This window comes from Homo sapiens, chromosome 2 (assembly GCF_000001405.40).
Source record: "Homo sapiens chromosome 2, GRCh38.p14 Primary Assembly".
Taxonomy (NCBI): Eukaryota; Metazoa; Chordata; class Mammalia; order Primates; family Hominidae; genus Homo; species Homo sapiens.
In genome coordinates, this window is record NC_000002.12 from 11,309,698 (window position 1) to 11,336,398 (window position 26,701).

At 36.2% G+C, this 26,701-nt stretch overlaps 1 protein-coding gene across 5 annotated transcripts in view; it reads right to left on the reverse strand.

Moving 5' to 3' along the window:
- The window catches only part of ROCK2 (Rho associated coiled-coil containing protein kinase 2), a 165,679-nt gene that overhangs the window by 129,939 nt on the left and 9,039 nt on the right, over positions 1-26,701 (reverse strand). The window lies entirely within an intron of this gene.

The window sequence follows — 26,701 nt, forward strand, 5'->3', positions numbered from 1 at the left end:
AGCTGGACTTGGTGGCTCATGTCCGTAATCCCAGCACTTTGGGAAGCTAAGGCAGGAAGACCACTTGAGCTCAGGAGTTTGAGACCAGTCTGGGAAATGTGATGAAACCCTGTCTCTACAAAATATACAAAAATTAGCCGGGCATGGTGGCGTTATGCCTGTAGTCCCAGCTACTCAGGAGGCTGAGGTGGGAAGACGGTTTGAGCCCTGGAGGCAAAAGTTGGAGTGAGCCAAGATCATGCCACATCACTCCAGCCTGCCCTGTCTCCAAAAAAAACAAAAAAAAGAAAAGAAATGAAAGAAAAAAAAGAGCTATGTCAAAATTTTTCTTTGAGAGATTTCTATGAATGGACTGAACTAATTATAAAATTACGTAAAATAAAAGTCAAACCAACATGGCCTAAAGATACTTTCTTTTCCTGGTAAATATCCCTGTAATAAATACTGTGTATTTCATTTCTGTTTTTAATTTAGCCCATGTTATGGTAATCTGATCCTAAAGTTTGGTGAGTTTTTTTAAGGGAAGTAGCTTGACTGCATTTGTGTCACCTGGTGTTAGCACTGATTACAACCTCACGGAATACTAAATGAGTTCTGGCCATCACTGTAAAGTCTTATTTACAATTTTTAAAAAAAAGGTTAAAGCAGAGTTGGGTTCAAAGTCAAGCAGTTTTAAATGGGTGATTCCTACAATTAACATGCCTAATCACATGGCTTAGAATTGATGAAAGATATTGCCACATTATTGTGACATATACTGCAATACTGAGAGAATTCCTGGCGTACACAACTCATTGACTCGTAGATAAATTCCGAATATGAACAGCAAATAACCAGATTGCAGAACGGTTACCAAATGGCAAACAAAATCATCACAAAATATTCTATTTTTTGATAATTCCTGAGAATGCAAAATAATATTTTATATCCTGGCATGCTCAACATTACTTACTACAAATCCACGCTCTGCAAAATTCACAAAAATATAAGCTCAATTCATAAAATTCATAAAAATAAAAGCTCAATTGAAGAAAGAATCATAGGTTGTATATACAACCTATGTCTGTTATATAACACACACTGACCACAACAGTGATTTACAATTTTAAGTTACACTAAATTACTTAATTTTCCAGAATTTTGATCCATATAAATGATACACATTTATTCTCATCTACTCTTATTCTTGTAATAAAGCAAGGAAGATTTCACCTCTGTGAGAAAAATGTATCTATGACTCAAGTTTCATTTAGGACAACAGTTTTGTCCTGTCTCTGAGCCACAGCCTGCATCCTAGATTTCACCAGTAATATAGATGACATTCTGATCTCTAACTTACTTCTCCAACTCTCAACTAGCTATGAAATCAGCATGAGAGTAATTATAATATATCAAGCCCCTGAAATTCTACTATCTAGTACAGTGAAACACTTTTTAAAAAAACAAACAATTCTTAGACAATCTGGAGATTTCTATCTCTACCAATGATAGACTAATTTGATAGAGCCAATCTTATTAATGAGGAAAAGCTTTAAAGGCCAAACGAATTTATTTTTAAAAATCTACTCAAGTCCTGGAGAGCCCCCAAAGCAGTAAAGATTTGAAACCAAAATCCTTGAGGTGGCAGGGTGGTGGGTGGAGAAAGAAGTGAACCTAAAGTTGACTACAAAGTTGCAGCTCTGAAGTTGAGAAGCCTAAGAGAGCTTCTAGCATTCTTGCAGAGTAGGGAACACAAAAATTAGAGTTCTGGACTTACGAAGAAGAAAAAGTCCAGGGTTTTTAATGGAGTCTACTAAAGGGCTATATCCTAGAAGTAATAAGGAAAAATAAAAACTAGACCAACCCTCAAAAGATTAAAAATCTGCCTCAAATCAGTTCAATTACTGAATAGATTAAGGTAGTCTGCCTCAACAGTAACTGCCAGAAGAAAACGTAAATCCTCCTGAAGACAATGTTACCTAATTCTATGCAATTTTTTCACATGCAATGCCCAGCAGTCAAACATTAGCAGCCATACCAGATGATAAAACTAAAATATCATAAAATCGAGAGAAAGCGCACACGCGCGTGCACACACACACACACACACCCCTATAGGAGATCCAGAAACTTAACATAAACTTCAAAATCACTGCTATTAATATGTTTGAGATATCAAGACGGGGGATTTCAACAGAGAACTTGAAGAATATCCAGAATTATCTAGAAAGGCTATTACTATCCCCCTCCCTTTTCCAACTACAAATATGTACAATGATGATTTTTCCTCATTTACTTCAACAAATACAACATATCACAACTGATGACATGAAGAAGCAGATGAGAATCCAGCCGTCGTTTCATACTAAAGTCAGACACTAAAGATTTGCAAAATTACAGAGCAATGCCACTCTTCTCACTAAACTTTTTGTATTGAAAAACATATTTTTCATTAAGTACTACATAGGTGAAATTAAATGGCTTTATTACAGTTATTCTCAATAAATTAACAAATTCATATTTTAAAATTTTCTCAGTTTTTAGCATATACTTTATATTCTTTTAAACTCTAAGCTTCGTTTTAAAAAGGAGCTTTATTAAGGTAAAACTGACGTACAATAAAAGCACACATTTAAAGTGTACAATTTGATAAGTTTTGTCAATATGTATACATCCATAAAATCATCACCACAGTCACTATAATGAACATAGCCATCAACCCACAAAGTTTCCTGTACTCCTTAAAAATCCCCCTCTCCTGCCCCTCTTCAAAAGCCCCCACTTTCTCCAAGCAACGAATGATTTGTTTTCCTATCACTATAAATTACTTTGAAGTTTATATAATTAATGTAAATGAAATCAAATAGTATGTGCTCTTTATTGGACTGGTTCTTTCATTCAGTATAATTCTGAGATTCATCTTTTTTCCATGTATTAATAATGCATTTGTTATTGCTGAGAATAGATGTTCCTCAACTTATGTTGGGGTTTTGTCCCTAAAACCTGTATACAAATGTTTTTAGCAGCTTTATAATTGCCAAAAACTGGAGGGAACCAATATTGCTTCAATAGGTAAATGATAAACTGTGGTATATGGAATATTATTCAGCAATAAAAAGAAATGAATCATACAGCCACAAAAAAGACATGAACGAAACTTAAATGCATATTTCTACGTGAAAGAAACCATTCTGAAAAGCCTACGCACTGGACAATTCCATTTATATGACATTCTGGAAAAGGCAAAACTAGAGATAGCAAAAAGCTCAGTGGTTGGAGGCAACAAGAGGAAAAAGAAAGGAGGATGATGAAGTGGAGCACGGGGGAGTTTTAGGACAGTAAAACTCTTTTGTATGATACTGTAACTGTGGATACTTGATATTACACATCTGTCAAAACCCAAACAAATGTACAGCAAAGAATGAACCCTAAAGAAAACTATGTACTTCAGTTAATAATAATGTATCAACATTGGTTCATTAACTGTATGTAACAAGTGTACCACACTAAGGTACGATGTTAATAACAGAAACGGAAGGGGATGGAGTAGCTGTTACATGGGACCTCTGTACCATCTGCTTAATTTTCTGTAAACCTACAACTGTTCTAGTCTATTAACTATTAACTAAAGACAAATTAAAACTAACAAGAAAGACTCTGACCAGCAGTGAATAAATGGGACAAATTTACACTCTTCTACAGCAGATGCTACCATATTTAAAATATTTTTGGGTTTTATAAGAATAAAATTATCTCTTATTGATGTTTTAATTTTTATATTTTTAAATCCTGAGCATTATTTTTGTCGTTTGCATTTCTTTGGTGAATTGTCTAAATCCTGGTACCATGTTTCTATTGATATTTGAGGTTTTATGGTGAATTTGTATAACCTCTTTATGTTAAAAATAATAGTGCTGTGTCTGCCTTTTGGGGCATATGGTTTTCCTCAGTTTTTTTCTCTCTCTTTTAACTTCTCGTTTAGTTTTGTTCACTTTCAGTAAATAAAAACTACATTATGATTGTTTTCATATCTATTATGTTTAGATCAGACGGGAATTTGTACAGTTTCATTTTGTTTATGGTTTCTCACTTTACCTTTATCCTCTTTGATTATCTGGAGTTTATTTTGGTGCATGTTATAAAGAGAGAAAATAACCTAATTTTTCCTCTCAAATATTTAAACAACTTTTAAAAGCATTTTTTACAAATATAAATTTTTACTTTGTCCTTATTATAAAAACATTTAACACTAACTGAAGAAATGTCAGAAGTACAGGAAAAAATTACAGCATTTTTCCTAGAATCTGCATAAATATATATAAGAACACTCTTTGATACTCAGATGTAAAGAAAGTGACTCAAAAATCCTTTGGTAGGGGTAATGGATAAATAATTTATCCAAGCAATGGAATATTAAAAGCTATTAAAAATAAGGTAGATTTAAATGTATTACTATAGAACTATGATAAATGAATAAAGCATTTATAATGATACCAGAAAAACTATTTGCAGTCAACAATTTGTATTTCACAGTAATAGTAATGTTCTCCTCATAGTCTAATGTAGCATCTAAAAACATTACTATGAATGTTTTCTAATTTGCTGCTCTCTTTATACCAATTTTGACTGACATACGTCCTTTGTCTGTATGTTCTTTAAAGAAACTGACTGCATTGCACATGCTGTTTAGTTACTATTATTCACTAAAACACAGTACTGTTAAAGGTATTTAAAATAGTGTTTAGGAATAGTTTAGAACTTCATTTACATTTATTGGTACCAACATATTACAATTTCCAACATATACCATATTTACATGAATAAGGTTTCGTATCTGCCACATTTTACATGCAAAACCCAGTAAGTTTAGGAAAAAAACCCCAACTATACATATCCTCAAATTTGCTTTTCATAGTTCCTTTTAGAACACTGTTGAAATCAACTTATACAAGCTACAAAGCTGTATCATAACTAAATGTGGCCAGTATCTCAGCACCCATGATTCACTGTTTTGCATTTGCCACTAAAGATGTTCTTCAAATAGCTAAACCATATTGTGGTATGTGATAAAGCCAGGCAAATATGATGCTTAAATATAGATGTCCTTGAAAATTATTCATCTCTTTAAATAGCATATCCAAAAACTTTCTCCTGTGAAAAGAGCTGCAAAAAAGGAAAAATGTATATTACAAATGAGACTATAATCCCTAAAGGAATGTGTCCAAAAAGCTGAATTATTACTTTATTAAAATGTGCATATTCTTATCCATAAGCAAAACCTATGAAAATGAAAAATCCAATTATCTAAGTTCAATTTGTCAAACAAGTATCTATATATCAGACACAATGATATAAACTGAGGATAAAAATATCACTAAAATAACTTTATAACCTTTCTCAATGCAAAAAAGACCTAAGACAAGTAATCAAGGCATGGTCCTTGCACTCAAGTGGCTTATACTCTAGTATAAGACACAAACTTAACAAATAATTACCAAAAAAAGTAAAACAATTATTCTGAAGTTAGAGATGTACCCTTGTAATCTATGTTACAAAACAAAGAGCACCATTACACAGAACACAATGTCCAACAACAAGGAATGGTTAAGCAATTATAACCACTGAATTCAATACTGCAGTGTATGCTTCAGAGTGTTTTGTTGTTGTTGTTGTTTTACAGTATCATATAGAAACTCTTATGCTACAATGTTAGGGGAACAAAATGGAAATAAACTATGAGATGAATTCCCAACAGTTTAAAATTTTTTTAATTAAATTATGAATAAAACTAGTAAAAAAAAACAGTAAATTATCTGAGTCGGCATAATATAAGTTTTAATTGTTTACTCTTTACATTTTCCAGTTTTCTGTAATACATCTGTTACTCTTATAATCAGGAATATAATAAACTTCTAAAAACATATCCATAATTTTTTTCTGGCAAATCATTTAACAACAAGCAAAGTCCTATTTGTCTGTTAAATAGGCAGCACTGTAAAAGACTTCAAAACATAGTGAAAAAACTCATCAGAATGTAGACTGGTAAGCAAGGCAAGCTTCACAGGGATTAAAGATTTCACTTTTTTGAACAACCTCAGCCAGAAATTAAAGCCATAAGTACATTATTAAATTACATATATCTAAAATAGAGTTGTACCAGGGGCCTTCTTCAGTCCACATTCTGATTATTAAGTATACTCAACAGAACACTGCAAACGTTCTATAAAGCTGTGCTGTCCGAGATGGTAGCCACTAGCCACATGTAGCTACTAAGCACTTGAAACAAGGCTAGCACAACTGAGGAACGGAATTTATGTTGTTTTGATTAGTTTAATTAATTTAGCCATATGTAGCTAATGGCTATTATACTGGAAAGAGAAGTATTTGGATATACCCTAAGAAAGCTCTCTTTAAAAGAACTACTCAATACAACTACCCTCAACTGGTAGCACTCCAACTTGAGAAGTTGGAAAATGGGTAACTATTGTAAAGGCAAAAGAGGCAAAATAAATAAATAGATATAAATAAATACTACGTATATCCAGTATCAGAGGTGGGTGGAAGAGGAGGTGATGGATAGGCCTTAGAGACCAAGAAAATTCAGAATGTATACAACACTTGTATATGTAACATTACTAATTTTAAATGTTTTTCCTTGTTAAATTTACATCCATACTTTGTCAATTACTAAAGTCAAAAACCATGTCAGGTTTATATAACAATAAAGGTAGCATTAACAAGTTCTACAGCATAGAGAATATATTAACAGCTGAGAATGGCAAATTATTCCATAGTATTTAATTTCATGTACTCCAAAAAAGGAAAGACTCAACAAACTAAAAGGTTACATAAACAAAGACTTAATTCTCAGTAGTTCTGGCATGTGTCTCTTCTACCAGTGAATTTCTCTTTCAGGTATGCAGTCTTCATCTCAGTTAAGAGGTAACAGGTAGAACAGGTCTGGAACATGCAGGCTTTAAAAATATTTTGCCATAACAGATTACAAAAAGTAAATTTCTTTAAGACGTAAACATTTTATGCGACCATGTATTTTAAGTAATTATTGACATGCTTAGGTTCCTACGATATGGTATGTCTGTCCTCTGACTGCTAATAAGTCATTCTAGAACAAAAAGAGAGGGCTAAAACAAAATAGTAAGTGAATGAAAACTAAAAATGCATCAAAATTTCTCAGTGAATTAAGAGACTTAGAATAGACTAGAAGGGTCAAATGGTTTTCCTCAGATCCTAAGTGTGGTCGTTTAAAGCTAACCATACATAAACCAAACCTTTAATTGATGGAGGATACCAGCACAGTTAAGAAGCTTAATAGTTTGAGACCTTCTTCAGACTAAACTCTCATCTATGGTATATAACATAAGGTTAAATTATCATGAGTCCAGAGTTTATGGTGGTGTTCAACTTTACAGATTCAGGAAAGCTTAACTTTTCCTGCGAATGAGGCCACAGAAATGATGCAAGTAACTAAAAGACATGTAACTTATGTCAACATGATAAGAAACAAAAGAAATAAGTGGCCTGAAATAATAAATTTAGTCACTTTTACAGGGCATCTCCTAAATAGATTAATTTACCAATCAGAAGATACTCAGAGATAAAAATTTAAAGCAAAGGAGTTAGAAAAGCATGGGTTAGTGAAAAAAGTATGTGATTTGGAATCAGACGAACTTGAAATTGAATATTAACTCTACCAACGCAACTGTTACATAACTTCTCTAAACCTCATAGCATCAATAAAACAGAGATAATAACATAACTTTGCAGCATTGTTATGAAAAGGAAATAAAGGACATAAAATGTCTGTAAAACACCAGGCATATACATAAACAGCTATTAACTTCAAAAAGCTATTTTTTAAAGCCGCCCTGATCTACACATTTATATATATATATATATATATATATATATATATATATTTTTTTTTTTTTTTAATTATACTTTAAGTTCTAGGGTACATGTGCACAACGTGCAGGCTTGTTACATATGTATACATGTGCCATGTTCGTGTGCTGCACCCATTAACTCGTCATTTACATTAGGTATATCTCCTAATGCTATCCCTCCCCGCTCCCCCAACCCCACAACAGGCCCCGGTGTGTGATGTTCCCCTTCCTGTGTCCAAGTGTTCTCATTGTTCAATTCTCACCTACGAGTGAGAATATGCGGTGTTTGGTTTTTTGTCCTTGTGATAGTTTGCTCAGAATGATGGTTCCCAGCTTCATCCATGTCCCTGCAAAGGACATGAACTCATCCTTTCTTATGGCTGCATTGTATTCCATAAAAGTATACCACATTTTCTTAATCCAGTCTATCATTGTTGGACATTTGGGTTGGTTCCAAGTCTTTGCTATTGTGAATAGTGCCGCAATAAACATACGTGTGCATGTGTCTTTACAGCAGCATGATGTATAATCCTTTGGGTATATACCCACTAATGGGATGGCTGGGTCAAATGGTATCTCTAGTTCTAGATCCCTGAGGAATTGCCACACTGTCTTCCACAATGGTTGAACTAGTTTACAGTCCCACCAACAGTGTAAAAGTATTCCTATTTCTCCACATCCTCTCCAGCACCTGCTGTTTCCTGACTTTTTAATGATAGCCATTCTAACTGGTGTGAGATGGTATCTCATTGTGGTTTTGATTTGCATTTCTCTGATGGCCAGTGATGATGAGCATTTTTTCATGTGTCTGTTGGCTGCATAAATGTCTTCTTTTGAGAAGTGTCTGTTCATGTCCTTTGCCCACTTTTTGATGGGGTTGTTTTTTTCTTGTAAATTTGAGTTCTTTGTAGATTCTGGATATTAGCCCTTTGTCAGATGAGTAGATTGCAAAAATTTTCTCCCATTCTATAGGTTGCCTGTTCTGATGGTAGTTTCTTTTGCTGTGCAGAAGCTCTTTAGTTTAATTAGATCCCATGTGTCAATTCTGGCTTTTGTTGCCATTCCTTTTGGTGTTTTAGACATGAAGTCCTTGCCCATGCCTATCTCCTGAATGGTATTGCCTAGGTTTTCTTCTAGGGTTTTTACGGTTTTAAATGACTAACATTTAAGTCTTTAATCCATCTTGAATTAATTTTTGTATAAGGTGTAAGGAAGGGATCCAGTTTCAGCTTTCTACATATGGCCAGCCAGTTCTCCCAGCACCATTTGTTGAATAGGGAATCCCTTCCCCATTTCTTGTTTTTGTCAGGTTTGTCAAAGATCAGATAGTTGTAGATGTGTGGTATTATTTCTGAGGGCTCCGTTCTGTTCCATTGGTCTATATCTCTGTTTTGGTACCAGTACCATGTTGTTTTGGTTACTGTAGCCTTGTAGTATAGTTTGAAGTCAGGTAGTGTGATGCCTCCAGCTTTGTTCTTTTGGCTCAGGATTGACTTGGCAATGTGGGCTCTTTTTTGGTTCCATATGAACTTTAAAGTAGTTTTTTCCAATTCTGTGAAGAAAGTCAGTGGTAGCTTGATGGGGATGGCATTGAATGTATAAATTACCTTGGGCAGTATGGCCATTTCCACAATATTGATTCTTCCTATCCATAAGCATGGAATGTTCTTCCATTTGCTTGTATCCTCTTTTATTTCGTTGAGCAGTGGTTTGTAGTTCTCCTTGAAGAGGTCATTCACATCCCTTGTAAGTTGGATTCCTAGGTATTTTATTCTCTTTGAAGCAATTGTGAATGGGAATTCACTCATGATTTGGCTCTCTGTCTGTTACTGGTGTATAAGAATGCTTGTGACTTCTGCACATTGATTTTGTATCCTGAGACTTTGCTGAAGTTGCTTATCAGCTTAAGGAGATTTTGGGCTGAGACGATGGGGTTTTCTAGATAAACAATCATGTCATCTGCAGACAGGGACAATTTGACTTCCTCTTTTCCTAATTGAATACCCTTTATTTCTTTCTCCTGCCTGATTGCCCTGGCCAGAACTTCCAACACTATGTTGAATAGGAGTGGTGAGAGAGGGCATCCCTGTCTTGTGCCAGTTTTCAAAGGGAATGCTTCCAGTTTTTGCCCATTCAGTATCATATTGGCTGTGGGTTTGTCATAAATAGCTCTTATTATTTTTAGATACGTCCCATCTGATCTACACATTTCTAAACACCTTATTTCCTTGGCAATATTAAAGAAATAATGGTAATTTTTAAATACCACGGATATTTTATACTATATTATCATAATAAATTATATTATTGGTTTGGACTGATTCAGCTGCAAGTGACAGAAAAACCTAACCAGAAAACACCTTAAAACTATTCAGGGTGGATCCAGTGGCTCCAATGATAATCAGGGACCTAAGCTCCTCAGCTTTGTTACTGTTAACCTGAATCCACTGCTTCCACCTAATGACATGGGATAGCAAGCACCAACACCAGCTGTTAAAAGGCAATGGCAAGAAAAGGATACATTCACTCCCTATAAGGACTCTTCCTGGAAGCTACTCACAAACCTCTGGTGTTCACATTCCATAGCTTCAACTTACTCATGTGGCTAATCACACACAACAACAAAACTGCTTTAAAAAAATTTTTTTAAGTAGTCTTCATTCAGCCCAAACTCAAATACATTCCAGGGGTTTTCCTAGTACAAAGAAGAAAATAATAGCTATTTGGGCCACTGCCATAATGTTTATCTCAACTTTTTCAATATTCTTTACCCACTACCAGGTTCCTTCAATAGCACTGTCTCGTGGTGCAGCTGTAATCAGCTGGATTGGATCTCACCTAAATACTTTAACACTTAAATGTAAGGAAGACACCAACATTGAGTCCTTTGATGAGATAATAAGGATAGCAACAGCAAACATTTTTTTGCCTTGTCACCACTGTGATAAATACCTTACATAAATTATGAAGCGATAAAATTATTTAATATAGGTCTTACTCTAGTCTGATAATGGGTTTACATTTAATGCTTAGGGAGTTAAAATATCTAGAATCTACCCCTTCCAGCCACCTGAAACAACTTACCAACTAGAAAAAATAAATGAAATGATAACTTTCAAGACACTGGATATCAGGCAGTGAAAGACGGTGGTCCCTCCCTGAGAGGAGAAAAACAAAGTGAGCCCTATCATGGCCACTTCCAGGTGACCAGGTGACCATGCCCAGAGAGGGAACCTAAGTTGAGCCAAGTGGTCACCCTGGATTGCAGAAGCAGAGCTAGAAGCCAAGGAAGCCAATGCAGTTAACAGAACAGAGTACCAGAGAGGAGGGAGGTGTACAGAGAAAGAACACAGGTACTCCCCCTAGAGTCTTCAGTAGAGAACATATCTACATGAGACTACATGATCTACATGAGACATTTCCCAAGAGCTGAACAAGAATAATTCCTGCCATGCTAGCCAGAATGGAAAACCCTACAATTCACGGGACTTGAGGTACTGTACTCAAAAGGCTTTTCCCTCAGTAGCATGGAAAAATTAGCTCTAGATTAACTGCTGCTCTTTACCGGCATAACAAAGCAAGGCACAAAAGGATCAAATTATTTTCTTGTTTTGAAACAGAGTCTCACTCTGTCATCCAGGCTGAAGTGCAGTGGCACGATCTCAGCTCGCTGCAACCTCCGCCTCCAACGTTCAAGCGATTTTCGTGCCTCAGCCTCCCGAGTAGCTGGAACTACAGGTGCACGCCACCGCACCGGGCTAATTTTTGTATTTTTAGTAGAGACAGGGTTTTTTGCCATGTTAGCCAGGTTGCTCTCGAACTCCTGCCCCAGTGATCCATCCGCCTCAGCCTCCCAAGTGCTGGGATTACAGGCGTGGCCACTGCGTCCAGCACTTTGGGAGGCCAAGGCAGGTGGATCACTGGGTCAGAGAATGCCAAATAAATTATTAGTCTCAAATAAATAAACCTCTGGACTGATTTTTTTTTAAAGACAGTGGAGCAATGTTTTAAAAGTACTAAATAAAACAAAAACAAAAGCAGTCAATCTATCCCACAATAATCCTGAAAGGTAGGAATTGAAAGCTGTATTACAGACAGGAAAGCGACCAGTTTACACTGATCAAAGGAGGAAGGATCACAACAAAAACTCGATCACAAGTTTTCATATACATATTCATTCTTTGAAGCATCTTCAGTCTTACAGCACTCCACGTTAAAAATGATAGGTTTAAAAATAGATAAATAGATGGATAGTTACTGACTGAATTATGTTTCAACCTGCACCCCAAAATTCACGAGTTGAAGTCCTAACTCCCAGTACCTCAAAATGTCATTGGTATTTAAAAATAGGGCCTTTAAAGAGATGACTAAATTAAAATAAGGTCATCAGAGTGGGTCTTGATCCAGTCTGACTGGTGTCCTTCTAAGAAGAGGAGATTATGACACCAGGGGTACACAAGCAAGAGGAAAGGCCACGTGAGGACACAGTGAGAAGGTGACCATCTGCATGCCAAGGAGAAAAACCTCAGAAGAAACCAAACCTGCCAACACCTTGATCTGGGACTTCCAGGCTCCAGAACTTTGAGATAATAAATTTCCGTTATTTAAGCCAAAAACAAAACAAACAATGGTCAATTTAGAATACTACACAAAACTATCTTTCAAAAATCGAGGTGTTAACATCATGTTGTACACCATAAATACACATAATTTTCATATTAATGTATCAGTTTTTTAAAAAGAATAAGAAAAAATAAAGTTAAGAAATCAAGGTATCACTAGTGTGTGTATATGTATTTTATACATATATATTTTATATATATATAAATGCCAGAAACAGTAGCCATTTAAGTGTTTGCTACTAATCATCATGACTGTTGCTGCCATTGTCGCATTCATGTCATGAATGCATTAGAAGAGCATCCATAATGCTCTTCTAATACTTCCAAAGCATGGTGACTGCCACCATTCTTAATTCAGGGTGTTTGTTATCTGCTGCTCAAATAGCAAGTAAGGTATCATTTTATACTACTCTATTTATAGCTCTTTAATTCATCATTTAACTTTCCACTTGACAATAAGCTTTATCTTCCCAAACTATAACTTCTTAAAAGTACCTGGACTATGTCTTAAACATTATTTTATATGTGGTAGAAAGTTAAAAATATGTACTTTTTGGTTTTGGCTAATTTTATCATTATGGGATACCACAGTTGTGAAGAGCTTCTTTACCCTTTCCTGAGTTACGCGTTCCATTTCCTCCCTAGCTTGGTCAAATGGTCAGTGAACAAAATCACACTAACAACTAATGAGTTTTAAAGATAAGTTCTTAATCATTATCTCCAGTAAGTATAGATCATACAGTGAAACGCTCTCTTCACTTGCAGACATGAAAAAATCCAAAGCAGTGCTCTTTTGAAGAGTGAAGAAGATTAACCTGAACCTAAGGGGATTTTTTAGGGTAAACAAGTTGAACAATCACTGACAACAAATATTCTGAAGTTTGTAATCCTTTTAATGTTAAAACATTTAATATTATTAATTACTTTTCTAAGATAGCCATCCAGCTTGTCCAAATAGCTAACCAATTTCTTGTTCAGAGCTTGAGGTTTTACTTCAGAAAATAAGCATCATAATGAAAAAAAGAATACTGTCTTAGAAATCTACAGACATTGATACTTTTCCAGTTCTGCCACTTAGCAGCTGCATGACTTTGGACAAACCTCCAAACCTCAGTTTCCCCTCTATTCTGTATATCTGCCCTACATATTTCACAATTGTATTAAATGAGAAAACAAATACTCAGGAAGACATTAAATCTAAAAGACACTAAATCTCTCAGGTACAGAATGAATAAACCTTTATTCAAAGAATTGGGTGAAATTACATACTATTAGACATATATGCTACTCAGATGTTCTGACTTTAATATAACTTTAATCAGACAGGTAAGAGGTTTCTCATTATGTTTGCAAAAAGTACGCAACTACCTCTATACTACCCAGAAGAGGTCATAATTTTTTAGAAAAATTTTAAACCATATTTGAATTCGTAAGTATTCCTAAGTGCAGAATATTTTTAAAGAACATGTTTTTTAAAAGACTTTATTTAAAGAGCAGTTAGAGGTTCACATCAAAACTGAAAGGTACAGAGATGTCCCACATACCCCTCACCCCTGCATACACATAGCCTTCCCCCACTATCAACATCCCTCACCAGAATGATACGTTTGTTACAACTAACAAACCTACAACACTGACACATCATTATCCCCCAAAGTCTATAGTTACCGTCAGTATTCATTCTTGGTACTGCACATCCCATGGGTTCACACAAATGTATAATAACCTGTATCCACCATTATAGTATCATATATAGTGTTTTCACTGCCCTAAGAATCTTCTGTCCTCCACCTATTCATCTCTCCTTCCACACTAACAGTCACTGATCTTTTTGCTGGTTCCTTACTCTTGCCTTTGTCCAGAACGTCATACAGCTGGAATCACACTCTTACCATACAGTCCAGCAATTGCACTCCTTGGTATTTACCTGAAGGAGTTAAAAACTTATGTTCAGCCGGGCACGGTGGCTCACGCCTGTAATCCCAGCACTTTGGGACGCCAAGGCTGGAGGATCACGAGGTCAAGAAATCAAGACCATCCTGGCCAACATGGTGAAACCCCGTCTCCACTAAAAATACAAAAATTAGCTGGGCATGGTGGTGAGTGCCTGTACTGGGGAAGCTGAGGCAGGAGAATCGCTTGAACCCAGGAGGCGGAGGTTGCAGTGAGCCGAGATCATGCCACTGCACTGCAGCGTGGCGACAGAGGGAGACTCCGTCTCAAAAAACAAAACAAAACAAAACAAAACAAACTTATGTTCACACAAAAACCTGCACACAAACATTTATAGCAGCTTTATACATAATTAGCAAAATTTGGAAGCAACAAAATGTTGTTCAGTGGGTGAGTGGGTACAGTATGGTACATCCAGACAATGGAATATTATTCAGCACTAAAAAGAAATGAGCTATCAAGCCATGAAAAGATATGGAGGGAAAACTTAAAATGCATATTGCTAAGTAAAAGAAGCCAATCTTGAAAGAACTTGTTATTTTCATGGCACTGGAAAAATGACACAGAAATCTAACAAGTTAGTAAAGCACAGTGCCTGGCACATAGTAAGAGATGTATGTCTTGCTTGTATTATTTCTGCTATGACAATAACCGTAATAGTACATCATAAAAACCTCTATTCAACATGACAGGTCTCAAGTGCTTATTATTTAAAATATCTATTCGTTTTCTATAAAGAAGTTTTATGCCCAGCATTTATATTACCATTTTTCCATTAGCCAACTATTTTATCCATACTTCTCATAATAGAAATGCTCACAAGAAGCACGAGTTTCCATCAGCAACTTCCACTTGAAACACTTTTCTAAGGAAATCCCCTTCATGCTATACAAACCAATTCTCCATTATCATTTAACACAGAAATAGATCAGTTTCTGAAAGACATTATTATAAATACAGCTGACCCTTAACATGGGTTTGAACTGCACAAGTCTGTTTATAAGTAGATTTTTTTTCCAATAAGTACAGTCAGTTCTCCTTATCCGTGAGTTGCACATCCACTACCAAAGGCAAGGCTACTTTTTGTGTATGTGGTTCTGGCAGGGCCAACTGTGGGACTGGTGCATGCACAGATTTTGGTATCCACAGGGGTCTTGGGGTCTTGGAACCAATCCCCCTTGGATACTGAGGGAAAACTGTACATATTTGTCTTGTCCTTCCAGAATCCAACTTCATACCAGACTAAATACAATGCTACAGAAGTTTTTCCACATACTACATTACAGTTAATATTTGGGGAGTTGGCATTTGTATTTTAAGCAGAGGGATCTAGGTTTTTTTAATAACTTGAAGATGGGAAGAAAAATGGTGCAGCTTCAAATGAAAGTTATTTAATATGGGGTGGGATATGAGAGAAAGGGAGGAGTAAGGGACAAGCGATAGGTTAGAGAAGTCAGCAGAAGTTAGATCACAAACAATTTTGTGGGAAATAATTAGCAATTTTAACTTTTCTCTGAATGAATGGGAAATCAATCATTTAAATACTTCAGAGAATAACAGGGTAAGTTTACATTTCATAATTAGTCTGGCTGGAGAGTAGAAAATGGATAAAAGACTAGAAAAGCTGGGGGAAAGAACACCAGGGAAAAGAATACCATAATAATCTAGAAATAGCATGATAGTCACTTGAAATAGGAAAGAAGCAGGGATATGCGAGGCAAGTGAATCCCCTTTAAGAGGTAACGCTGATAAGATCTGGGAACAATGTGAGGTCAAAGATAACAGACACTAGATTTTTGGCCTGATCGAAGCTAAATGGATAGTGGAAACAATCACTGAATCTAAAACCAAAGGAAATGAAGCAGATTTGGAGCAATAGGGGAAAAAAGAATGTAGTTGTAGATATGTTATCATTAAGTATCTGCAGTACATCCAAGTAGAGATGCCCAGTAGGTAGCTGGATATGTGAGCCAGAAGCTCAAATGCAAGCTCTCAGATGGATAAAATGGAAGGCATCAACATACAAATGATAAAGTCCTGGAAAAGATACAAAACCAAGATGGCAAATGCATTTAAAAAAAAAAAAGTAAGGAACATTTCCATTTGGCAGAAGAAGAGAAGGCAGCAAAGGAGCCTAAGGAGAAACAGCTGAGGCTTTGCGTACTGTCATAGAAGCCAACAGAAGACAGCAATTTGACAAGTGTCAAGTACTTTTGAACATTCTATAAGATTATGGTTTTAGCAGCAAGAAGTCCAGATGATCTTGGAGCGAGCAGTTTTAGTGAATGATGAGAGAAGACATTATAGTGTATGGAGAAGTGAACAGAACATGAGACAACAGAGAAGTACACAAGCTTGGGGCTTTGTTTTGCTGGTGAGAGGAGGAGGCAGAAGCTAGAAAGAACTGAGGTTTCGTTTTTGTTTTGTTTTTTATTTTCTGACCATATCATGCAGTAAGAAATGAGACTTATGTCTAGGGGTATTTTGGTTGTTTTATGAACATGTTTATTAGTGAGATGGGAAATAATCAGAATTAAGAGAGAGATTAAAGACATAGCGTTAATCAGCAGGAAGAAAAGAATAAGACCCAGAGCACAGTTGGAGAATCAGCCTGAGGCAGCATGAGGAAACATCTCATCCACTGAAATTGAAGGAAAGGAAGAACAAATGCTACGGAGGAGATAAACTGGTGAGTCAAGTAACAGGAAATATAAGGGGTCTCCTTTTCATGGGTTCTGTTTTCCCATGAAGGGGGGAGACCATCCGGGGAGGATACTTTCTTTCTTAAGTTTAAAGAAAGAAAAGAATGATTAAAATAGCCCCTATGGAGAATAAAAGAATTGCAATGCAGCCCTGACAGCTCTTTCAGGGACTAGAGACCATGAATTTGCAGTACCACTAATCTGGGTAATTGTGTGTGATTTTTATCCATCACTGCTCAACAAATGCTTTTTTTGTTGGCCAAAGAGACAAACTGATCCAGAACTTAGGTTTTGCCAGATACATACGATGAAAATTCATGAGGACAAGGACACTGAGGATTCTGGCAAGAAGTTTAAAGTGATGGAAAATGGGTTCCTGCCTGCTAGTAAAGGAACCATTTAGAGATGTCAAGGAACTACAGATCTCAAAAGTTTACAGTCAGAGCCAGGACAGTGTTTTAAATTTAAGACCTCAAAGGTAAAGCCAATTTTCAGGTAATGGTGAGGTCCAGAGTAGCTCCATGGGATTAAGTGAATGAATTAAGCGAAAAGAAAGACAACTGGAGATGATGAAATTGGGAAACTATAAAGCCAGAGTCCTGGGCCCTCTGTTCACATAAACTCTAAATTCACCACGAATGGTGGCAAAGCCTTATGGGGAAAGATTGTGAGCCACATGCCTGTGTCTTCAATGAGAAAGAGAACATGGCCAAGAAAGAGGCAGAGGGGGAGTCTCATTCTGTCACCCAGGCTAGAGTGCAATGGTATAATCTCAGCTCACTGAAATCTCCACCTCCCCAGCTCAAGCAATCCTTCCACCTCAGACTCTCAAGAAGCTGGGACTACAGGTGCACACCACCACACTTGGCTAATTTTTGTATTTTTTGTAGAGACAGGGTTTCACTGTGTTGCCCAGGCTGGTCTCCAACTCCTGGGCTCAAGCTATCTGCCCACCTTGGCCTCCCAAAGCACTGGGATTAGAGGTGTGAGCCACCAAGCCCGGCCAACTGTCCGTTTTTAAAGGGGCATATGTTACTTTTGTAATTTAAAAAATGAAGTTTGTTTTATTTTGTTTTTGTTTTTGTGATAAGCTGACAAAACAGAGAAGGAGACAGAGCAATCCAGGTACACACAAGGGCAAAGAGTATAGAGAACATGGTATATTCAGATTATCAGTGAAAAGAAGACTGCCTCTATCCCTGGTCCTGCTCACTCTCTTCCCTTCCACATCTCTGATATGAAACTTCTATCCCCAAAGTCCATCATCTATGAGCCATAAACCCCACCAAGACTTTGTCTTACTATTCTCTTAGATTGTAAAGATCCATCCAAAACCCCAATGCGACTAATTACACGCAGTGAATTAAGAACACAAAAATGCCAACAATTTTCATTCATTTATTTAACACTTAGTGAAGCTAATATGTGCCAAATAATATGCTACATTTGGGGGGGGAAACAGGCTAATATCAGAGGGTTGATTTTGTATGCACATACATTGAGAGACACAAACAATATAGGCTGTTATACACATAGTTTTTCAACTGTCTGTAAAAAAGCTAAAGTTCTGTACAGTTTACAGAACACTAGCACATATAGTTAGCTTCTCACTGTATTCTTCACAACTCCTTGAAGGCAAATAGTCCTATAAATTACTCACAATCAAGAAGATAATCACTAGAACATCTCATTAATTAACACCAGTCTTAGCTTTTCTGACTCCAAATCCAATGTTCTTTCCACTATACTACTCTCTCTTTTAAAAATACACTTGAAACTATTCACAACAGCAAAGACTTGGAACCAACCCAAATGTCCAACAATGACAGACTGGATTAAGAAAATGTGGCACATATACACCATGGAATACTATGCAGCCATAAAAAATGATGAGCTCATGTCCTTTGTACAGACATGGATGAAATTGGAAATCATCATTCTCAGTAAACTATCGCAAGGACAAAAAACCAAACACCACATGTTCTCACTCATAGATGGGAACTGAACAATGAGAACACATGGACACAGGAAGGGGAACATCACACTCTGGGGACTGTTGTGGGGTGAGGGGAGGGGGGAGGGATAGCATTAGGAGATATACCTAATGCTAAATGACGAGTTAATGGGTGCAGCACACCAGCATGGCACATGTATACATATGTAACTAACCTGCACACTGTGCACATGTACCCTAAAACTTAAAGTATAATAATAATTTTTTTAAAAATGCAAAAAAAAGAAACAAAAAAAAATACACTTGAAATTAAAAATTCAAGTCATTTTCCTTCATTTTTTGCCCATCTTCACTACCTTGGTGGGGAAACTCTTAAGAAAAAAATTCATTTTAACCTTCATATGTTAATGAGATCAAACAGGGATCCTCTTTATGTACTTTGGTGGAATTTTATTAATAGAAAATCATTTGAAATAAGGCATTGTTCAGATTTTTAAACTTTTATTTCACAGATCTGTTGTAACTAGAGTCAAACTGAGTAGTTCTGTTTAAAAGAAGGGGAAAGCACATTAAAACACTACACCAAATATTTACATTATATCATCCAGAAAGACAAAACTTCCCTATACTAAAAGCTTGTAACAATCCCATCTCCAAAAAAAAAAAAAACCGTAACTTCTTAAAAATTTATTCACTGTTATATTTTATGACTTCCCTCAGAAGAAAATTTTACAAGCCAATTTTGTACTAGAGTTTCCTTTTATTAGTTCTAAATTTAGTTTTATTTGTATCATCTGCTGTTCTCCTATTATGGAAATGTCTTAAAAATGGAAAACAATCTGTTTTCCAGCATTCAAAATTTATAACTTTACAGCCTCCCCATTTTTACAAAAAAAAAAAATTGCTTGCAGCAGAAATTGTTTTACAAAACTATCAGCAAAATCCTTTAGGTGCGTTTTCTCGTTTTTGTGATTAAATTCTTTAAATGTTCTCTTGCTTTTGTGATTAAATTCTTCTTTAACCTGAATATAACAACATAAACATTATCCATATTCTAATTTTAAATGTTGCAACCATGAGTTGCATATTCCGTTTAAGCTACAGCAAGAAATAATGCCTGAGAATATTTTTAGCATGAACATGTCATAACTGACTCATGAAGTCTCAAATTAATTGCATTTTTTTCAAATATTTAGAAATGCTGGAGCATCTTGTACAACACTGAGGTATTATGGAATTAGGAATTCTCATCACCAGATTGTAAAATGTTTCTAACTGGAAAAATACTTCCAATAAAAATGTTTCTAAATCATCCATAACACTCTTCTAAAAATAACTGCAGAAATATATTCAGTCAGTGAAAGAAGCATCACCTAGTTTCAGATTTCACATTTCTAATTATCTTTCTATTCAGCAATTATTTGAAAACAATATTTCAAAAGATAAAATGTCATAAATCTTTAGGGCTTTAAAGATACTTTTATTATATGTCACTCTAGAGCCCCACGTTATTGAATTGTGCCTTGGCCACAGGGTATGTAGTTTTGTTAGCCATGAGATAAAAATCCCACAAACTATAACTCTAAAACAACAAAGTTATCTGAAAAAGGTGATACATTTTTCAAAATCATACTAATATTTTCATATTTAATATACAAAATACTTTTACAGGGATTTCAACATACAAAAACACATTTTTCACTAGATCTTGTAGGCATCAAAGCTCATGACAACTGTGCTAATACACTTTCTTTTCCTTTTGGTTTTAAAACGAAAAACTTTTAAGAACCCAAGAAGCGGAGGCTGCAGTGAGCCGATATCTCACCACTGTACTCTAGCCTGGGTGACAGAGACTGCGTCTCAAAAAAGTCTCAAAAAAAGGAGAAGGGGGAGGAAGGAGGAAGACAAGGGAGGAGGGAAGATGAGGAGGGAGGAGGGAGGAGGAGGAGGGAGGAGGAGGAGGGAGGGAAGAGGAGGAGAGAGGAGGGAGGAGAGAGGAGGAAGGGGAGGAGGAGGGGGAGGAAGAGGGAGGAGGAGGGGGAGGAAGAGGGAGGAGGAGGGAGGAAGAGGAATGAGGAGGAGGGAGGAGGAAGAGAGAGGAGGAGGGAGGAGGAGAGGAGGAGGGAGGAAGGGGGGAGGGAGGAGGGAGGAGGGAGGAGGAGGGGGAGGAGAAGGAAAGAGGAGGAGGGAGGAAGGAGCAGAAAGAAGGAGGGAGGAGGAGGGAGGAGGAGGGAGGAGGAGGAGGAGAAGAAGAAGAAATAATATTTTCTAAGTTTCCTTTGCTACTCAAGAAAAAAGAAAAAGGTACCACATGTAGTTATCTTTAATAAAAACTCAAAATAGTTTATCTAACCTAACATTAAAAAGAAAACTTCAATTTCAATAAGCATATTCTGAGTATGACTTCTAGAGGATTCACACCTAAATACAAAGCAAAAGAGTAGAATCACACACTGATACACCTGTGAACAAGAACATGGCACCTGTGCCACCTGTGAACAAGAACAGGCAACCTTTGTATCTGTAAGGCAAATTAAAATGAATACTCAAAAACAAGCCAAAAGCCAAGTGCAATAGTACTTAAAACACCAACAGCTACCTATCCTCTATATGAACCAAGTTATTGAAGTAATACTAGTAACTGTTTTAACAGAGAAGTATAAAGATAAAATTTGGGTCAACAAAAGGGAAAGAAATAAGTTTATAAGCTTATACCTAACATGTTCAAAACAATCAAAAGATGGAAGATGAACACAGAGCAGAATGGAACAAAAAAAAAAGTCATGTGCACGTCAGAAGCCCTTAACATCTGTAGCTCAGAAATAACCCAATTAGCCAGGCGCGGTGGCTCACGCCTGTAATCCCAGCACTTTGGGAGGCCAAGGCGGGTGGATCACGAGGTCAGGAGTTTGAGACCAGCCTGGCCAACATAGTGAAACCCTGTCTCTGCTAAAAATACAAAAAATTAGCCAGGCCTGGTGGCAGGCGCCTGTAATTCCAGCTACTCGGGAGGCTGAGGCAGGAGACTCACGTGAACCTGGGAGGCGGAAGTTGCAGTGAGCTGAGATCACACTGCTGCACTCCAGCCCAGGCGACAGTGTGAGACTGTCTCAACAACAACAACAACAGAAACAGAAATAACCCAACTAGTAGACTCCACTGCCATTATTAGGGCCTTCCCATTAGCCAGGTGCAGTGGCATGCACCTGTAGTCCCAGCTACTTGGGAGGCTGAGGTAGGAGGACTGCTTGAGTCCAGGAGTTCTAGGCTGCAGTGAGCTATGATCACACTGCGCTCCAGCATGGACAACAGAGTGAGACCCCATCTCTTAAAAAAAAAACCTTTTTTTAATTAAAAAAATAAAAAAGAGCCTACACAGATCAGCAAGACTCATTCATTCCTTGGAAACAAAAAGTATCATAACAAGGTTTTAAAAAAATGCTTAGTATTAACTAGGCCTTTCAGGTATAAACACTTATCAGTAGGATAATTCCACATTCAGAGGGCACTGATCTGTATTTGTATTCTATTTTTGGAATTCCAAACACTGGAATTGGCCTGTGGTATACAAAATAAAACTCCTTCACCAGTTGATTACCGTATTATTTCCTAGCATAAAAACAAAAACAACTTAAATATAATGATCCAAATTAGGCCACACTCATGACACATTAGCAAAAATCAAAAGAACAAGCAAAACACGCACATAAAACAGTGGCCAACATCATTTGTCATTGGTAAAATGCACTACAATGGCTATAATTACAATGACACACACTACCAAGTGTTTTGTGATAATATGGAGAAACTGGAACCCTTATACATTTCTAGTGAGAATGTAAAATGGTAGGGCTACTTCAGAAAACAGTCTGCAGTTTCTCAAAAGTTAAGCATAAATTTACCATATGACCCTGCAGTCCCACTCCTTGGAATCTGTCCAAGAGAAATGAAAACATATGCCCTCACATATGGTGAATTCATAAACAAAATGTGGTATATCCATAACCATGGAATATTATTCATCAATTAAAAAGAACATAGTATTCATGCTGCAACACAGATGAATGTCAAAAACATTACGTTAGGTAAAAGAAGCCAGGTAGAAATCACTGCATATTTTATGATTCCACTTATATGGAATTTACAGAACAGACAAACTTATAGAGACAGAAAGCAGATCAGTGGTTGGCTGGGGATGGGATTCAGGATTGACTGCAAATAAGATCAAGGGAATTTAGGGGGGGTGATGAAAATGAATTGTGATGATGGTTACACAAATTTGTAAATTTACTAAAAATCATTATATTGTACACTTACAATGGAAGACATTAATGGTGTATAAATTATACCTCAATAAAACAGTTGAAAATAAAAAGAACTAGCAATGCTAGTAAACAATGATGCCTGACTCTATATATTCAATACCTGCTCATTCTCAACCACCAGACTTTTATTTCAGAGCTGATTCTAAGAGCTAATAAGAGACTGAAACACATTTTGCCAATTGCACTACATCTGCTGGCTGTATTTATTTGTTCAACCAATATGAAAGGCTTATTACAAGTAAGATACTATGTATCACTCTTCTTTGTCTGCTAAATGAATACCACTAGTAGATATAGAAGAAAAACTATCACAGCTCTAAATTCCATTCTTTCTGTAACTGTTTTAAATATGGTCCAGAGAACACACAAAAAAAGCACCTGCATGTATTAGGAAAAAAAAAGAAATACTACAAACATGAAACAGTTTAAAGCCAAATCAACACATGAGAAACCAGAATGCTTAATACCTGACAAATTCTCAAGTCATCGTGACTTGCAATGACACACTTGATTCCTGTCAAAAAAATCTCATGCCCTTTAACTTAATTTTTAGTACTATTGAAAAATATTGCCTTACTATTAATAACAGCCAATACACTATTTTAAAGGATTTCACCTTGTGAACACACCACCAGCATTTCATCTGCCCTGCTCATAAAGTGCAATTCCAACACAGGCATAACTAGGTACATAAAAAGAAGTAAATGTGTTTAACCAGAAAAAAGTTAAGGAGAAGGGGGAAAAAATGACACATATAAATAATAAAAAGCTGTTCAGCCCCCATGAGGTATCTTTACTTCACCTAAAACACTGAATAAAATTCACCTAATTCTTTCCAAGACAAACTGTTTCACAACAATCCGGAAAATATCCAAATCACAATTTGCTTTTCCTACATGATCTCCAAATTAATTCTACTTCTAAACCCATCCTCCCTGCATATATAGATGTTTACTTATCTTCTTTCCTATGGATAGATAAGAACTTAGTGACAGGAACACATATCAAAATGTTTATCTGGGAAGTATTTTAATTAATGACTCTTCAAGTAGAGATATTTCTACAGGTTATCACTCCTGTTATTTAAAAAAAGAGGCCAGGCGCAGTGACTTGAGCCTGTAATCCCAGCACTTTGGGAGGCCAAGGTGGGCGGATCACAAGGTCAGGAGTTTGAGACCATCCTGGCCAACATGGTGAAACCTCATCTCTACTAAAACACAAAAAATTAGCCAGGCGTGGTGGTGCACACCTGTAGTCCCAGCTACTCGGGAGGCAGAGGCAGGGGAATCCCTTGAACCCGGGAGGCAGAGATTGCGGTGAGCCGAGATTGTGCCACTGCACTCCAGGCTGGGCGACAGAGAGAGACTCTGTCTCAAAAAAAAAAAAAAAAAAAAAAATTGTTAGTTCATTCAACAAATATTTACAGAATAGGAAAACATAAAAGACTCGTACTAAAAGAGCTCATATTCTGTGCATTAAATAAAAATAAACTCAAAAGCCAAGAAGCATATATGAAGGCAATGCTTAGCATATTAAGCATTTGTCAACACAATCATGCAGGTAATTAAGACAATACCAGCCCTGCTCTGGCGCGTTTCTATCTAAATAAAGTACTGCTAGAGAACACTTCGCTAATTCATTTCCATGGCATAGAAACCTCAATAATTAAACATTAGAAATTGTTCCAAGTCTATAATCCCTTGAAAATAAAATGTCTATCACTTGCTTTATAACTAAAGAAATCTGAGGTGAAACTCTTTTAGAGAATAAAGGAATTCAGACATTGAATATAAGTGGTCAATCACCTATGACAAAAAAAAATTATAAAGCACTTTAGATATCTGAACAAACAGCCCATACCTTACCAAAATGAAGTACCAAACCATAAAATCATTCCTGGACTTAGAAACATTCCCCAAAATATTATTGACAATGAACTAAAAATGAATCCAAATAGTTCCCTTTGACTGATACACACACACACACACACACACACACACACACACACACACAGACACACACACGGAAGGGGAAGGCGGGGAATGAGAGAAATGCTAAGTATTGTGACCCAAATGCTTTTTGAAAAGATATGTGAGGGTCATTTAGAAAACCTAACTGCAGAATTTACAAGAATATCTATATAATTTAATAATACTTTAAAGGGGGGCAGGAGTACAGATGAGAGGAAAGAAAAATGACTCCAATTAAGGATAAAGTGAGTATAGTTTTAGTTGAGCCCCAAATGCACCATGATTTCACATCAATTTATTAAACAGTAAGCTCCATATGCTAGTCCACCAAGGGAAAATGTTCTTTTATTATTTTTAAAAGCTGTAAGTTGCACTGAGTCATCCACATTCTCTCCACCAGTAATCCTTATCACTAACAAATTAGAGTTTTAAGTATAGTTGTATAGTATTTTCATGAAGAAATTCAAGAGGCCCAAATAGAGACCTAACCTATAATCATTAGACCTTAATCATTAAACCTTTTTTCTCACCCCAATCACCACTCTCCAAATAGAAAGTATAATAAAGAGATGTAAACAGAAACTCCCAATTAATATTTTGGGAAATTTAATACCTAGACAAATCTCAATCTCCTGATATAATCTTTGAACTCCTACTTCATACTTTCCATCAGAATTCCAAATGAAATGAAAATATCAATAAAAATAAAGCCATGTGAGAACAAAAAGTCAGGTATATGATGATATAATCCTGGTAACAGAGAATTTCCTAAACATGACCACTAAGCCAGAAATCACTTTACAGTGAAACGATTGATAATTGTGACTATATAAAACTCATACTATTCATTAAATATTTAAAAAGATAAAGCACATGAATACTGTAATTTTTAAATACATATAAGTTAAGATATATAAACCAAAATGTTAATTTAAACAGTGATTATCTCTAAGGAAGGAGATTGTAGATAAGTGCTATTAGCATTTATACCCTTCTATGCTCCCTAAATTTTCTACAACGAGAGCATATTATTTTTATAATTTAAAAAATGACAAATCTTTCTTCACTTTAAAAAATAAAATCTATGTTTCCCTCTCAGCCATAGTTGGTTGTCACTTCCCTCAGGTACAGATAAAACTAAAAAGAAATGACTTTTTTTCCAGAGACAGGGTCTCATTCTATCACCCAGGCTAAAGTGCAGCAGCACCATCACAGCTCACTCAGTCTCAAACTCCTGGACTCAAGCCATCCTCCTGCCTCAGCCTCCTGGGCAGCTAGGATCACAAGTTTGT